The sequence below is a fragment of the Homo sapiens genome, chromosome 22 (genome assembly GCF_000001405.40).
Source record: "Homo sapiens chromosome 22, GRCh38.p14 Primary Assembly".
Taxonomy (NCBI): domain Eukaryota; kingdom Metazoa; phylum Chordata; class Mammalia; order Primates; family Hominidae; genus Homo; species Homo sapiens.
Window position 1 is genome coordinate 25,463,769 of NC_000022.11, and position 16,773 is coordinate 25,480,541.

The 16,773-nt window shown below is 46.0% G+C and overlaps 1 long non-coding RNA gene across 1 annotated transcript, besides 2 other annotated features; it reads left to right on the forward strand.

Moving 5' to 3' along the window:
* Positions 8,457-8,957: an enhancer, noted in NCBI's record as "H3K27ac hESC enhancer chr22:25868192-25868692 (GRCh37/hg19 assembly coordinates)". NCBI's record gives its function as "activates a minimal SCP1, AML or CMV promoter by ChIP-STARR-seq in naive H9 embryonic stem cells {active_cell/tissue: H9 hESC(naive)}" and the evidence as "EXISTENCE:reporter gene assay evidence [ECO:0000049][PMID:30033119]".
* Positions 8,958-9,458: an enhancer, noted in NCBI's record as "H3K27ac hESC enhancer chr22:25868693-25869193 (GRCh37/hg19 assembly coordinates)". NCBI's record gives its function as "activates a minimal SCP1, AML or CMV promoter by ChIP-STARR-seq in naive H9 embryonic stem cells {active_cell/tissue: H9 hESC(naive)}" and the evidence as "EXISTENCE:reporter gene assay evidence [ECO:0000049][PMID:30033119]".
* On the forward strand, positions 9,806-16,203 carry LOC124905094 (uncharacterized). The gene is made up of 2 exons (XR_007068036.1): positions 9,806-13,836; positions 14,420-16,203. It is a non-coding gene; the product is annotated as an uncharacterized LOC124905094 (long non-coding RNA).
* Positions 16,204-16,773: the final 570 nt, after the last annotated feature.

Genomic DNA, 16,773 nt, shown 5'->3' on the forward strand with positions numbered 1-16,773 from the left:
GAAAATCTCTCCCACATCTGTACCAGGAGATAGGTACAGGATGCTCAGAACAGCATTGTCTGTGCTAGCAAAAAACTGGAAATAACCTACATGTCCATGAGAAGGGGAATGAGTAAATAATCAGCATGCAATAATATCATCATGCCACAGACAAAAGGGATACACAACACCTTACATATTCAACATGGGCATATCTCAGAAACATTCCCGGAGGTAAAACAAAACAAACAAAAAAAACAGGCAAGTTACAGAACAATGTTTGATATTTATAAGAATTTTTTAAAACATCTGTAGTGAGGGATCAGTTTTTGTATTTTACCTTTTTTGATACCTTATGGACTGAAAAGTTAGTAGAATATATAAAAATGAATTACCAGAAATGAAAATGAAAAATACAACAATCATCCCCAATTTAAAATTTTTATATTAACAGTTAAAACAGACTGTCAAATTATTAAAAGTCTTTTTTTTTTTTAAGAGACGGGGCGGGAGCGGGGGGGGGTCTCACTGTGTTGCCCAGGCTGGTCTTGAACCCCTGGCCTCAAGAGATCTTCCTGCCTCAGCCTCCCAAAGTGCTGGGATTACAGGGGTGAGTCCACCATGCCCAGCCAAAAGTTTCTAAAGTCTTAGTCTCTCTTTAGTCTCTCTCTCATTTTTTTTGAGACAGAGTTTTGCTCTTGTTGCCCAGGCTGGAGTGCAATGGCACGATCTCGGCTCACCACAACCTCCGCCTTCCAGGTTCAAGCGATTTTCCTGACTCAGCATGTAATCCCAGCTAATTTTGTATTTTCAGTGGAGATGGGGTTTCTTCATATTGGTCAGGCTGGTCTTGAACTCCCGACCTCAGGTGATCCACCCACCTCGGCCTCCCAAAGTGCAGGGATTACAGGCGTGAGCCACCGTGCCTGGCCTCTAAAGTCTTACTCTCAATTTCTGTGTTTATCTCATCGCAGATTGGTAACAAACAATTACCACCGACCAGACTTTGAGTAGGTGTTGGCGAACTTTTTCTGTAAAGAACTGGGTAGTAAATATTTCACATTTTGGGGGGCAGTATGGTCTCTGGCAACTACTCAACCCTGCTGGCATCACGTAGAAGCAGCAGTAGGTAAATGAATGGGTGTGGCTGTACCTCTGTAAAACTTTATGAACGCTGAAATTTGAATTTCATTGTCATGTATTACACAGATTTTTTATTACTTTTTACATTTTAAAATATATTGATATTTTGGGGTAGATGTGATATTTTGATACACGTATACAATATATAATGATCAAGTCAGGGTAATCAGGATACCCATCCCCTCAAACATTTATCTTTTATCTTTTCTTTGTGTTGGGGACATTGCCCAACACAATTTTCCTCTTCTGGATATTTTGAAATCTGTAAGACGTTATTGTTAACTATAATTTCCCTGCTGTACTATTGAATACAAGAACTTTTTTTTTTTAGGCAGGGTCTCACTCTGTCACCCAGGCTGGAGTGCAGTAGCGTAATCTTGGCTCACTGCAACCTCCGCCTCCTGGGCCCAAGCAATCCTCCCACCTCAGCCTCCTGAGTAGCTGGGATTACAGGCACGTGCCACCATGCCTGGCTAATTTTTGTATTTTTTGTAGAGACAGCATCTTGCCATATTGCCCAGGCTGGTCTCAAACTCCTGAGCTCAAGCGATCCACCTGCCCCTGCCTCCCAAAGTGCTGAGATTACAGGCATCAGCCACAGTGCCCGGCCTGAATACAAGAACTTATTTCTTCTATCTAAGTGTATTTCTGTACCATTATCCAACTTCTCTTTCATCCTTCCCTCCCCACCTTCCCTTCCCAGCCTCTGGTAATCACCAATCTACTCTCTACCTCCATGAGATCCACTTTTTAAACTCCCACATATGAGTGAGAACACATGAGTTTCTTCCTTTGATTTTTCCCCAACCATTTAAAAATGTAAAAACTATTTGTATTTTATGGGTTGTATAAAATGAAGTATCGGCCAGGTTTGTCCTACAAGCCATGGCTTGCTGACCTTTCCTTCAGCTTATCCAGCAATAGACATAAATCAACGTAATGTTTGTTTTTTCAGAAAGATTTAACATAGCTGCTATCCAATTTTCTTTTTTAAACGAAATGCTAATGATTTTGATACATGAGTTACATAACTTTTTTGAAGTATGCACATAGAAAAGACTGGAAAACATGCCAGATTATTAAAAAATGTTGAGTTTGTGGTATGGGCCATTTAGGCAATTGTTGCCATTTGCTTTGTGCTTTTCTGTATTTTTTTTTTAATTTCCAGGAAGTTTCTCTTTTCATCATCATGAGTCCTCGAAGGGTGCTGTGTTCTGTCCCTCTCACTCCTGACTGGCAGTGACTCTAAAAAATGCCCCACCCGTGGGGAGGCCTTGGAAAGTAGAAGTGGAGATGCAGTCACTGATCTCGGGAGAAGCTGAAAACACAGTCATCAGCCCTAGGAGAGGGGTTTTCTGCACTTCCTTGGCCATCGCTGGCCTCTGGGGTGTTTCAAGTTTTTCTGGAAAACAGGATCATTCTGTGGAGTGAGTCTCAGGACCTTGACATGGGAGGAACAAAACTTTTCTTGCTTTTTTGGTGCACCCTGGGCTGAAATAAGAAAACCACTAGGGGTGAGTCTTCAAAGCAAAGACAACCCAGGTGAGCGGAGTGGTGGGGTTTTAAAAAAACACAGGTGGAGAGGAGCACGTTCTCTCTCTCAGATAAGATCTCAACCAGTGGGGAGAACCATGCGTGCTCAGGATGGGATGCCTGCCTCAGAATCCCCTGGAATATGGATTTCCACTCCACCCATCTTCTGCTACAGCAATGGAATTGGTTTCTATCAAGGTGGGACTGAGGTGCTGGGCAGGTTGACCATCACCTCCCAAGTGATGAAGCAGCTGGCTGGGGATGTGGATGGGAAGGAGCTCAGAGGCTGCCCCAAGCTCCTCCCAGCACGAAGCTGAAAACCAGACCCTTCTGCCCCTAAGAGGCTGTCGAGGGCTTCCTGTCTCCCCTTGTGAGAAAAGAGACTCAGTGAAGCAGGGCTCATATTAGTGAATCTCCAAAGGTATTCCCAGCTTCCCTGAAGCCGCGGTTCTCAGTGTGTGAACCACAAACCAGCATCACTGGCATCACCTGGGGTCTTGTTAGAAATGCAAGTTCCGATCAGGAGCCTTGGTTCAGGCCTATAATCCCAACACTTTGGGAAACTGAGGTGGGAGGATCGCTTGAGGCCGGGAATTCGAGACCAGCCAGGACAACATGGTAAGACCCCATCTCTATAAAAAATAAAAAATTAGCTGGGCATGGTGGTGCACAACTGTAGTCCTAGCTACTCAGGAGGCTGAGGTGGGAGGATCACTTGAGCCTAGGAGTTCAAGGCTGCAGTGAGCTATGATCACGCCATTGCACTCCAGCCTGGGCAAAAGAGTGAGAACGGGTCTCAATAAATAAATAAAAAGAAATGCAAGTTCTCAGTCCTACCCTAGACCTACTGAATCACAATTTGGGAGGGAGGGGTGTCCCAACTGTAAACCCAAGTTTGAGAACCATTGCTTTGCCAAGATAGGGTCTTGCTATGTTGTCCAGGCTGATCTTGAACTCCTGGGCTCAAGTGATCCTCCTGTCTCAGCCTCCCAAAGTGCTGGGATTATGGGTGTGAGCCATTGCACTTGGCTACCATTGCCTTTGGGTTTTGTATTTCTTTAAACTGTTCGCCTTTCTGCATCTTTCATGAAAATAGGTGGGTGATATGTTCCTTTTCCAAGACCAGTTTATAGTTAATGCTGTTTCTTCATAAAGTTGTTATTCTTTTTTTCACTAAAGAAGGCAACTTTGAGTGGATTGGGCTTAAATTTTCTTTCTCTCCATTAATCCAGGAATTAGGAAACATCAACCAGGTGGCTCACGCTGCCATTTCCTGAGATAGCAGTTTCTGTCAAAAAGATTGGTCCACATATTGGCCAAATCCTCCTTTTCTTCCAGGCATACTTTATATTCATCATTATTATATATTCAGGAGGCAAACTATATTCTTCTTTTTAGAGATAGGGTCTCACTCTTGCCCAGGTTGGAGAGCAGTGGTGCCATCACAGCTCACTGAGCCCTGATCTCCTGAGCTCAGGTGATCCTCCTGGCTCAGCCTCCCATGTAGCTGGGACTACAGGTGTGCACCATCATGCCCGGATAATTTTTTATTTTTATTTTTTGTAGAGGTGGGGTCTCGCTGTGTTGCCCAGACTAGTCTCAAACTCCTGGGCTCAGCTCAAGCAATCTTCCCGTCTCGGTCTCCCAAAGCACTGGGATTATAGGTATGAGCCACGGCCCCCAGCCTTCAATTTTTCTTTAATGTTGGTTTCCCTGTTAGAATGAAAGCTCAGTGAAGCACATCTTGTTCACAATTGCATTACCACCACCGCGTACCATGACAGGCTCACAGGAGGCATTTATTAAGTGATTGCTGGCTGATGTCCTCACGCTTCCACCTATGACCACCTGTGGCTTATTCCCATTTTCTAGGGGAGCCCCTGAGGCTCAGAAAGGGGGAGATGATTTGCTCAAGGCCATGCTGGTGGAAAATGAAAAAGCTGGGTTTGAACCCAGGGCTCTATCCCACCCATGGTGGTCAACCTCTCTGGCTTTTCTTGCACCACGGCACTCCAAAACCTCCTCCACCCATGCTGGAGGCCTCTCTCCTGGCTGCCCATGGTCACTGCACAGCCCTGTGCACAGAGCCTGTCTCTGGTGCTGGGCTGGAGGGAGTTGAAGTTTTTGAAGCTTCCAGTACTGGAAATGTTGGTGGTGAGCAGGGCACCCTGACCCCGGCTTTAAAAATAGGAAGCCTGAAATAGCTCTTTCTGGGCCTCCCCTTTGCTGTGGCCTTTGAAGCCCCGAGTGTGCAGGGCTGAGAGTCCCTGCGTCCTGTGGCTGCCCTGGACAGGCTCTGCGAGGAATCCAGGCTGGAAGCCAGGCCCAGGTGGGAGCCACAGTCCACCACAATAGTGGCTTCCTAAAACCAAATCTTTGCTCCCCATCTCGAGCAGGGGAGTTGATTGGTGATGGCCGCGGGCATCTGGGAGCCTTGGCAGGGCAGCCCTGAAGGAGATCCCAAAAGAAGGGTGTATGAGTTCTTCATGCAGTTCTCCTGAACTTCCATCACCCATCTGAGCTAATGAATTTCTGTTAAATTCACACACTTCTCACCAATCCCCTGATCCAGGCCCGCATCCTCTCTTGTTCACACAACCCCAGCAGCACTTCTCACAGGTCTGTCTGCACTCCCTCTGTCCCCCTACAAATCCCATGCAGAAGTCAGAGGGATCTCAAAATGCAAATCTGATCATGAGACCCTCCTGCTTAAACCTGCCATGGCTCCCCTTCACCCTCTGGATACAAATCCTAATTACTAACTCACAAGACCTGTGTGGACCAGCCCTTGCTTTGTCTCTTTAGCTTCCTACCATGTATATAAACTTTTTTTTCTGTCCTGTGTACCCTTGATGAGTCCTCCAGCCACAGGACTCTGGCATATGCTGTTTTCTTTTCCTGAAACATATTTTCCCCCAGTTTGCCTAATTATTCCTATTATTATTATTATTATTATTATTATTATTATTAGAGACGGAATCTTGCTCTGTCATCCAGGCTGGAGTGAAGTGGCATGATCTTGGCTCACTGCAACCTCCACCTCCCAGGTTCAAGTGATTCTCTTGTCTCAACCTCCCAAGTAGCTGGGATTACAGGTGCACACCACCATGCCCGGCTAATTTTGTTTTAGTAGAGGCAGGGTTTCACCATGTTGGCCAGGCTGGTCTCTAACTCCTGACAGATCAAGTGATCTGCCTGCCTCGGCCTCCCAAACTGCTGGGATTACAGGCGTGAGCCACCACACCTGACGTAATTATCCCCCTTATGCAGGCTTCGAATCTCGGCCCAGCGTCCTCCCTGGCTTCTATGGCCAGGCCAATCTTCTGATGTGCTATTTTCTGCTTTGCTCACCTCTCTTTGGAAGCCCTAATCACACATGTTGCTCTATATGTATTTATTTAGTTCTTTGATTTCATTTCCATCTCTTTTCCTAGGCTCTATGAGGGCAAGGGCCACGCCTGATTTTGCATTCAATATATCCACAGAGCACAGTATATAGTTGAGGCTTGATAGGTATTTATTGAATGAATGAAAGATCAAATGAATGAATGAGTAGTCAAACCCAGAGACTAGGACTTGACCAACAGGAAAGACTCCTTAGAATTAGTCACTTCCAAGCACGAAGCCATGGAGACACCTGTCATTGTAATGAAAATCAAGCACTCGGATAAAAAGCTTGTCTTGTTCTCTCAACATGTGCCGATTTCTTCATCTGAAAACAACTCTCATTGTTCAGGCACAAATGCTTCCCTCTCCTCGAGTTAGTGACCACCCCCATTCCTCCCTTCCAGAGCACAGACTCCAGAATCTGTTACAGTAACTCTTCAGAACTGCGTGTTTTAACCAACCTTGTCTCAACATTCTCATCTGGAAACAGGGTGCATGTGGCTTGCTTGGCAGGAGATGTGGCCTACAAAGTGATGAATCCATAGCCTGGTGCCCAGCTGCTGCATAAAAACATAATTTCTCCATTTTTAAACTTGTAATGCTTCCTTCTACCTTGGGTACTACCAGAACACTCCAAGCATCTCAGTCTAGAGAGTGTAAAGGAAAGTATCCAATAAATGCTTTCATTCTAGGCAGGGCTACTCATTCTCAACTTCACCGCTTTTTTTTTTTTTTTTTTTTTGCGACAGGGTCTCACATCACCCAGGCTGGGGTACAGTGGCACCATCAGGGTTCACTGCAGCCTCAACCTCCCTGGGCTCAGGTGATCCTCCTGCCTCAGCCTCCTGAGTCTCTGAGACCACAGATGCACCGCCACACCTCGCTAACTTTTTTATTTTTTGTAGAGATGGTGTTTCTCCATGTTGCCCAGGCTCATCTCGAATTCCTGAGCTCAAGCGATCTGCCCTCCTCGGCTTCGCAATCAACTTTACTCCTCTTGATGTGTGGTGGGGGCTGCCCTGTGCACTGCAGGATATTAACTGCACCCCCCGGCCTCTACCAGCCAGTTGACCAGTAGCAACCCCCAACACTTGATGACCAAAAATGTATACAAACATTGCCAAGTGTCTCCTGGGAGCAAAATCACCCCAGGTTGAAAACTGTAGGGAATTACAGATATTCATACTAGGGATAAGGACATTTCCAAAGAGGATAGTGGATGGGGTCACTAATGGGATTTCCAGCAGGATTGCAGACAGGGAGGTGAAAATTTAGGACAAATCATGCAAAGTAGGTGTTTGCCTCCACCTTCTACATGAGACAGACTCAGATAAACGGTCAGGGATGAAGGGGATGAAGTCTCCCATTTTATAGATGGGGAAGTAGAGGTCCACAGGGAAGAACTTTGTTATCTGGCAAGCAGTGAGACCTGGGTGCCTAAAACACACCTGTACAAATGCATATGCATGTAGTATGTGCATATGTATTAGATAAATATTTGACATGTATTATATGTAGCAACTCTATTAGAAATGGAACTCTGTTAGAAACGTAGAACTCTTGAGGCCAAGACTTCGAGACCAGCCAGGCCAATGTGGTAAAACCCTGGCTCTACAAAAAATACAAAAATTAGCTGGGCATGGTGGTGTGCACCTGTAGTCCCAGCTACATGGGAGGCTGAGGCACAAGAATCTCTTGAACCTGGGAGGCAGAGGTTACTGTGAGCCGAGATCACACCTCTGCACTCCAGCCTGGGTGACAGAGCAAGATCCTGTGTCAAAAAAAAAAAAAAAAAAAAGGATATGTGGTCACAAATAGGAAAGGAATTTTTTTTTTTAGATTTTTTTTTCTGTGTACCCATATGTGAGCACCCATACACTCACATACACAAATGCACACACAGATACAGGTGAATCCTAACCTCCTTGCTTCCTTTTGTTAGTTCAGGGAGGAGAAAGCGGGGGGAATTTGGGGTGCATTTACTACCTGCAATCTTTTGGCTTTGGGAACTCAGGAGGAGGAGGAGGCAGGACAGAAAGAGCAGATGGAACAGGTACCCTTTTGGTTAGCCAGAGGGGACATTTGTGAACTAAGTGGGAAGAAAAGTGTCATTTTGTCCTTTTGTCTTATGAAGCTATTTTGGTGGCATTCATTTGGTTTTGAATGAAAGAAGCTGAATTTTACCACTGATTGTACATGTGAGTTGTTAGCAACAACCACCACAATAAGTCTGGGAACTGCGGGAAAGTAGGATGGGGCCATGGGAAATGGCCCGCCCTTCCTTCATCCAGAGGTGGCTGATGCCAATCTCCTGGCAAGGCCTGTCAGGCTTCTCTTAGGATGCACTGTGCATGGTGGTGAGGACTCCGGGCATCAGACCGACAAGGCTGGCAGGGGGTAAGGGCCTTTTCCAGAGCAAGGGGTCACACATGCAAAATTATCAAGGTGAGAAAAACTACTGGACGAGAGGGAATGGAGGTGGCTCTGCATGCAACTGTGGCTTCTACAGGGTGTGGGAACAAGAATGGTGGCAGGTGAGGCTGGCAAGGCAGCAGGGCCCAGGCTATGGAGGTAAATGTTGACCCTGGAAAGGAGTGTGGGCTTGCTTCTGAGGGCACTGGGGAGCCATGGGAGAATTCTAAGGAAGAGAGTCACCTGGCACAATTGGCCCTGGGGAACATTCCTTCTGTCTAGTGTGAGGAGTTGGGGAAAGAGGGAAAAGGCTGGAAGCAGTTCCCTTTGGTTGAGTGACAGAGGCCAACCACCTGCGCTATCCAGGTGGGGGCATGCCGGGGACGGGGCAGGATTTCTCTGGTGCACCCATTCCTTGTAAGGGGGACCTGTGATCACAGCAGTCTTGGTGTGCCATGTGGTCCCATCTTTTGCACCTTTCCTTTCTTTTGACACAGAGGCATGCTCTGTCACCCAGGCCGGAGTGCAGTGGTGCCATTTCAGCTCACTGCAGCCTCTTCCTCCTGGATTCAAGCAATTCTCGTGCCTCAGCCTCCTGAGTAGCTGGCTTTACAGGTGTGTGCCTGTAAATTTTTTGTATTTTTAGTAGAGAAGGGGTTTCACCATGTTAGTAATGGCTGGTCTCGAACTCCTGGCATCAAGCAGTCTGCCTGCCTCAGCCTCCCAGAGTGCTAGGATCATAGGTGTGAGCCATAGGGCCCAGCTTGTACTTTTCAAAGCACATTTGTCCATTTCTTGTTTCAGACATTCTTTTGATTAGAAACAAAATGTTACATTACAGTGGAAGCCTGCTGGGTACTTCCCTGACACCATTCCCTTTTCTCCTCCTACTTTTTTTGTATCTTTTTGTATCTTTTTTTTACTTTAACTACATGTGCCTAACCACAAACAATATATAGTATTGTTTCCACACTTTCCGTAAATGTTAAACTCTGTGATTCATTTAGCAAATTGCATTTTTCCCTTTAACATTATGTTTCCAAGGCCAGGCCAAGTGGCTCACGCCTGTAATTCCAGCACTATGGGAGGCTGAGGTGGGCGGATCACTTGAGGTCAGGAGTTCGAGACCAGCCTGGCCAACCTGGTGAAACCCTGTCTCTACTAAAAATACAAAAATTAGCTGGGCGTGGTGGTGGGCGCCTGTAATCCCAGCTACTCAGGAGGCTGAGGCAGGAGAATCCCTTGAACCCAGGAGGTGGAGGTTGCAGTGAGCCGAGATCATGCCACTGCACTCCAGCCCGCGCAACAGAGTGAGACTCTGTCTCAAAAACAAAAACAAAAACATTATGTTTCCAAGACTTATTTACAGTTGACTCTTGAACAATGAGGGAGGGAGGGGCACTGACTCCTTCATGCAGTCAAAAATCCACCTGTAACTTTTGACTCGCCCAAAACTTAACTTCCATTGAACAGAAGACTTGCCAACGCCGTAAACAGTGGAACAACACATATTTTGTATGTTGTAGGTATTCTATATTGTATTCTTGCAATAAAGTAAGCTAGAGAAAAGAAAAAATTATTAAGAAAATCAGAAGGAGGAGAATATATATTTACTATTCATTAAGTGGAAGTGGATCATCATCAAGGTCTTCCTTCTGGTCATCTTTATATTGAGTAAGCAGAGGAGGAAGAAAAGAGGAGGCTTTGGTGTTACTGTCTCAGGAGTGGCAGAGATGGAAGAAAATCCAGGAATAAGTGGACCCACACAGTTCAAACCCATATTTGAAGGGTCAACTGTATATTGTCACATATAGTAGATTTAGATCATTCATCTTAGCTGGTGTGCACAGTTTCACTGCATATGTATAATGCAAGTTATTAATCCAGTCTCTCTTTGTTGTTGTTGTTGTTGTTTTGATACGGAGTCTCATTGTGTTGCCCAGGCTATAGTGGTGTGATCTCAGCTCACTGCAACCTCCGCCCCCTGGGTTCAAGTGATTCTCTTGCCTCAGCCTCCTGAGTAGCTGGGATTACAGGTGCCCACCACCACACCCAGCTAATTTTTGTATTTTTAGTAGAGACAGGTTTCACCATCTTGGCCAGGCTGTCCTTGAACTCCTGACCTCGTGATCCACCCGCCTCCCAGTCCCGTTTTGATGGACACTTGCGTTGCTTCCAGTGGCTGCTGCTGTACACCTTGCTGCCGTGATTAGACCATGTGCATCCGGAGCCCTTTCCTTTCTTTTGGTGGCCACCTCTCCTTGAGGGGCCTTGTGACCGTGCCGAGAGCAAGAACTCTGCAACTGGGCTGACTGGGTTCAGATTCCAAATCTGTAATTTACGGGCTGAGCAACTGAGCAAGTTGCTTAAGGACGCTGTTTTTTCATCCAGAAAAATGGAGATAATAGCAGTACTTCCTTTAGAGGTTGTTGTGAAGATTAACCTATTAGTGTCTGTGAAGCGCTTAGTACTATGAGGTGTTTAACATAATTATTATGCAGCTAAAACTTGAACATGGGGATGTGCTTACTTATTTGTGGGAGCTACAAATTAAAACAATTGAATTTATGGAGACAGTAGAAGGATGGTTACCAGCGACTAGGAAGGGTAGATGGCGGGGTGGAGTTAGGGGAGAAAGAGGGGATAGTTAATGGGTACAAAAAAATAGTTAGAATGAATAAGATCTAGTATTTGGTAGCACAACAGGGTGGCTATAGTCAACAATAATTTAATTGTACATTTAAAAATAACTAAAATAATATAATTGGATTGTTTGAAACACAAAGGATAATTGCTTGAGGGGATGGATACCCAATTTACCCCGATATGATTATTATGCATTGCATGCCTCTATCAAAATAGCTCATATGCCCCATAAATGTATACACCTACCATGTATCCACAAAAAATTAAAAATGGAAAAACATTGAGCATGGGAGGTGTGAGTGGAGCTGTCCCAGCCTCGTCTCCCAGGCTGTGCAACTTTGAACAGGTCACTGCACTGCTCCGGGTCTCACCTTCTACATCCATGAAATGGCGGTGTCGTAAGGATGACATGAGATGATGTGTAGCCTGTAACGACACTCGACTAGGATTCATTTTTCTTGTCCCACTTCTTTTCCTCACCCTTGTGAGGTCATTCAGGCACATGTCATTCAGTCACCTTCTTCGACAGATAAGTATACTGTGGCTCGGAGAGGTGGAGAGACTTTCTGTAGGTCACCCAGCGTGTCAGAGGTGAATAGACTCTGCAGGCAATGTCCATGGGGTGGGTAACAGTGGTTGTGGTTGCCACACCTTGGAGCCAGCTCAGCTCCTCCTGTAGACCCCATTAAACAGCCCCTGTCCCTGACCTCCAATCCTACCCTCCTCACTTAGCCTCCAAGCTTGGCCACCCACTGTGTTCTTGTGATGAGGTGGAACAGACACAGTCATCCACGTGGCCTCTTAGAAACAGCCACCAAATGCTCCCGTATCGTAGCAACCACAGAATCAAAACAAGCTCTTAATGAAAGATCAAAAAAGACAGGGAGCTGGAAAGCCCACTCCCTGAACCAGCCAGCCCTCTGAAGATTCCTACTGCTGGGGTTTCAGTTCAGGGAGTTTATTTGATTTGCGTCTTCAACCTCCCCGCTCCACATTGTTAACTTCTAGCAGACTGTGGCTGGGAGCCAAGAAGTGGGTTTTAAATACACAAAAGGAAACAGAGCATGGCGAGGTCTGGAGGACAGAAGCCATCAGAGAGTGGGTGTTCCGGGGGGTGGCGATCATAGAGGCACTGCACCACGCCTGGAGCCAGGGAATGACTTTTGCTTGGCCCTTGAAGTTTCTAGAGGCTGAACTTAAGCGCTGCAGCCCCTTGTACCCACTGCTCAGCCTTTAGTTGGCTTCTTGCAGTGAAATCCCAAAAGGGAAAGCCGGGAAGGCCCTTAAAGACCACTTGATCCAGTGGTTTCCAAACTTTTTTTCTTTTTTTTTTTTTTGAGATGGAGTTTAGCTCTCGTTGCCCAGGCTGGAGTGCAATGGTGTAATCTTGGTTCACCACAACCTCTGCCTCTCAGGTTCAAGTGATTCTCCTGTCTCAGCCTCCCAAGTAGCTAGGATTACAGGCATGTGCCACCACGCCCTGCTAATTTTGTATTTTTAGTAGAGACGGATGGGGTTTCACCATGTTGGTCAAGCTGGTCTCGAACTCCTGACCTCAGGTGATCTGCCCCTATTAGCCTCCCAAAGTGCTGGGATTACAGTCATGAGCCACCGCACCTGGCCCCAAACTTTTTTTTTTTTAAGCAAAGAAATTGTTTCCTGGATAACCTCACATAAAGCATCCCAGTATGTAAAGCAGATAATAGTGTTGGAAGTGACAACCTGGAATTCTGTCCATGGGGACTCTTCTCCTTGTACTCCCACACACAGAAACCCTTCAGCTTATGCTTCCAACGTCAGTGTCCAAAGAAACTTTAGACAAATCCAGCCCCTTCATTCACAGATGGAGACATTATTGTTAGTTGTAGTAAATGTTAGCTAACTACCAGTACTTACACTTTAAACGTGCCTGGCATAGGAGAATGATTTTATATGTCTGATAGTATCAAATCCCCACAACTACCTGATAAACTAAGTATTATAATGACCCTCATTTTGCAGGTGAGTAAACAGAAGTCTAGAGAGGTACAATCACTTCCGAAAGTCACCCAGCTGGTAAGTGGTGAAGGCAGAATTCAGAGCCCAGTGTGGCTGACTCAATAGCCTGTGCCATCCACCCCTACATGAGTTGCCCAGGGAGGTTAGAGACTGTCCCACAGTCTCATAGGAGCTGAGCAGGGACAACGAGGTGGCCTGGTGTGGAGGGAAGGTCACGGGTGTGTGGGGCTGGAGCTCTGGGTCCAAGATGTTCATCAGCTGCCTGTCCTGGCTGGTAAGAGACTGAGGGTGAGTGGTCAGTGAGCATGAGAGGGGGAAGGGAGCCTTGGGAGACCACACTGGAGAACCTGGAACTAGGGAGCTATAGCAGGTGTCTGAGCTAGAGAATTAATCCTACTGTTGGCTGCACATCAATATTGGGACAATAGGCCCAGATGTGTCATTCCTAATAATCACAATGGGGCAGGATGGTGCTCAAAGCACTTTACTGGCATGATCTTAATCATCACAAAGCCTCTATGAGAGAGGTGATGTCATGATACCCATTTTACAGATGAGGTCGCTGGGGGCTCAGGGAAGTGAAGTGCTTTGTCCAGGGTCACGTGGCTGAAGAGTGGGGGAGCTGACACTTGAAGCCAAGACTGGCTGACTTTCAAGCCCACATGCCTCTGTCAGTTAAGTGTGGTGATGGTAATGCTGTGTAACAAACAATCCCCCAAATCTCTGTGCTGTAGGACAGTAAGTGTTGATTTAGCTCGCATGTCTAATGTGGGTTGGCTGAGCCAGGCTGGGCTCAGCTGGGCAGCTGTGTGCTCATCCATGTGTCTCTCATCCTGTCCTGGGATCAGTGGACTAGCCTTGGCATATTCCCCTCCTGCTCATGGCAGGAGTGCAAGGGGGTGAGCAGAAACACACAAAGTCTCTTGAGGCCTAGACTCAGGACCACACAGAGTCACTCCTGCCTCATTCTATTGACCCTAGCAAGTCACAGGGCCAAACCCAGGGTCAATAGGTGGGAAATGGTACTCTGTTCTTTTAACGGGAGGAACTGCAAAGTCGCTTGGCAAGGGTGAGAATACAAAGAAGGGTAAAGAATTGGAGGCAAGTTTTGCATTATATCATATTGTCTGTGCTGGTTTAAAATATGTTCACACAGTCTTTGATAATTCCTTCAAAAGATGGAGCCTAATTCTACATCTCTTGAGTGTGGGCTAGCCTTACTGACTCCCTTTTAATGAATAGAACAAAGTGGAAGTGATGGTGTGCAACTTCCAAGGCAAGGTCATAAAAGACATTGTGGCTCCCTCCTCGCTCTCTTGAGGATCACCCACTCTAGGGAAGCCAGCTGCCATGTCGTGGGGATATTCAAGCAGCCCAGTGGAGAGACCCATGTGGTGAGGACCTGTGATCTCCAGCCAGCAGCTGTGTGAGTGGCCTATCTTGGAAGCAGCTCCTCCAGCCCCAGTTCAGTCTTCAGATGAGACTGCAGCTGCAGCTGACATCCTGACTGCAACCTGATGAGAGACCCAGAGTCAGAACTGCTCAGACTAAAGTTGCTCCTGAATTTCTGACCCGCAGGAACTGTGAGACAACAACTGTTTATTGTTTTAAGTTGCCAAGTTCTGGGGTAGATTTGCTTGCAGCAATAGATACGAATGCTGTGTCTAAGTATTCTGCCAACTCACTGCTGCCATAGCAAGGCCCATCATAACAAGCGAGGCTTGGATGGAAGCAGCTTTGTCTTCTACCCAGAGAACCAGCAAAATCCCAACAATTTACCAAGATTAGAGAACCAAAAATACCCATGGAAACTATAGTTGTTAAGAAACATCTGTTTTTGAGCTGTCTAAATTGGGTAGTTCTCAAAAGGAATAAAAATGTATCAGAGGATGGGGACAGCTGGGTGGGGACTGATGCCAACTGCCTGGCAGGCTCAGCTGGTCACTCGGGTTCCTTCTCAGAGCTGAGGCAGGGAGAAAGATCCAAATAAAGATCTGATGGGGCAGATTAGACAGAGCTGCCTGTAGCAAGGCACTGAGGGCTGTGTCCAGCTGCAGGGGCAGTACTTAAGCTTACTGCACCCCTACTATGTGCCAGGTGCAGGGTGGGCACCTGCATGTGAGGACCAGGGATTGGGGTGTTGGAAGATTTTGGCTTTTGGCCAGGACTAAAGGGTGAGAGGTAGTATGGAGAAGGAATTAAGGCCCTGTGGAGAGGCCTGGGCTTAAATCCTGGCATTGATGTTTACCAGCTCTGAGGCTTGTACGTGGCCAATCACTTAAACACTCTGGGCCAGTTTCCTCAACTGTAAAACGGGCATAGTCACAGTGCCTACTTGATCCATCCTTGTGTTCCTCTCAGGCTTGCTTTGTAAGACTCCTGGACTCCTTAGGTTTTATCAATCCTGGTGCCCTTCCATTGTATCACATCCTTGGATCACAGTGATGGGTTCAGGAATAGACACATGACCCAAGGGAGGCTAATCAGGTGAATATAGGGAGATGTTCTTTCTTTCTTAAGGTGGCTACGTTTAGGACATGAGCCAGGGTTGCCAGTGTCACCCATCACATGTACCATATGAATAACTCTTGTCTAAGATCTGGCAAGAGATGGTGGAGCCTAATGACATTGTTAAAGATCCTGGATACAGCCATACCTGAAGCGTATCCAGAATTCCGGCTGAGTATCTGTACTAGTCAATGTTCTCCAAATAATATACACAGGCATAACTCAGAGATACTGTAGGTTTGGTTGCAGGCCACCTCAATAAAACAAATATTGCAATAAAGTGGGTCATAGGAATTTTTGATTTCCCAGTGCACGTAAAAGTTACACTATAGTGTATTAAGTGTGCAATACCATTACATCTAAAAACCACTGTACATACCTTAATTAAAAATACTTTATTGCTAGCAATCATCTGAGCCTTCTGCAAATTGTAATCTTTTTGCTCGTGGAGGGTCATGCCTTGATGTTTATGGCTGCTGACTCATTAGGGTGGTGGTTGCTGAAGGTTGGGGTGGCTGTGGCAGTTTCTTAAAATATGACAACAATAAAGTTGGCCACATTGATGGACTCTTTCATTAAAGATTTCATGGAAGCATATGATACTGTTTGATAGCACTTTATGGACAGTAGAACTTCTTTCAAAATTTGAGTTAATCCTCTCCAACCCTGCTGCTGCTTTAGCTATTAAGTGTATGAAATATTCTAAATGTGGCCAGGCGCAGTGGCTCATGCCTGTAATCCCAGCACTTTGGGAGGCCAAGGTGGGTGGATCACCTGAGGTCAGGAGTTTGAGACCAGTCTAACTAATATGGTGAAACCCTATCTCTACTAAAAATACAAAAATTAGCTGGGTGTGATGGTGGGCATCGTAGTCCCAGCTACTTGGGAGGCTGAGGCAAGAGAATCACTTGAACCCAGGAGGCGGAGGTTGTAGTGAGCCAAGATTGTGCCACTGCACTCCAGTCTGGGCCACAGAGTGAGACTCCACTTCAAAAAAAAAAAAAAAAAAAAAAAAAAAAATATATATATATATATATATACATACATATGTATGTATATATATATATTCTAAATGTTTGTTGTCATATCAACGATGTTCACAGCATCTTCACCAGCAGTAGGTTCCACCTCAAAATACACTTACTTTGTTCATCTATAAGAAGCAGT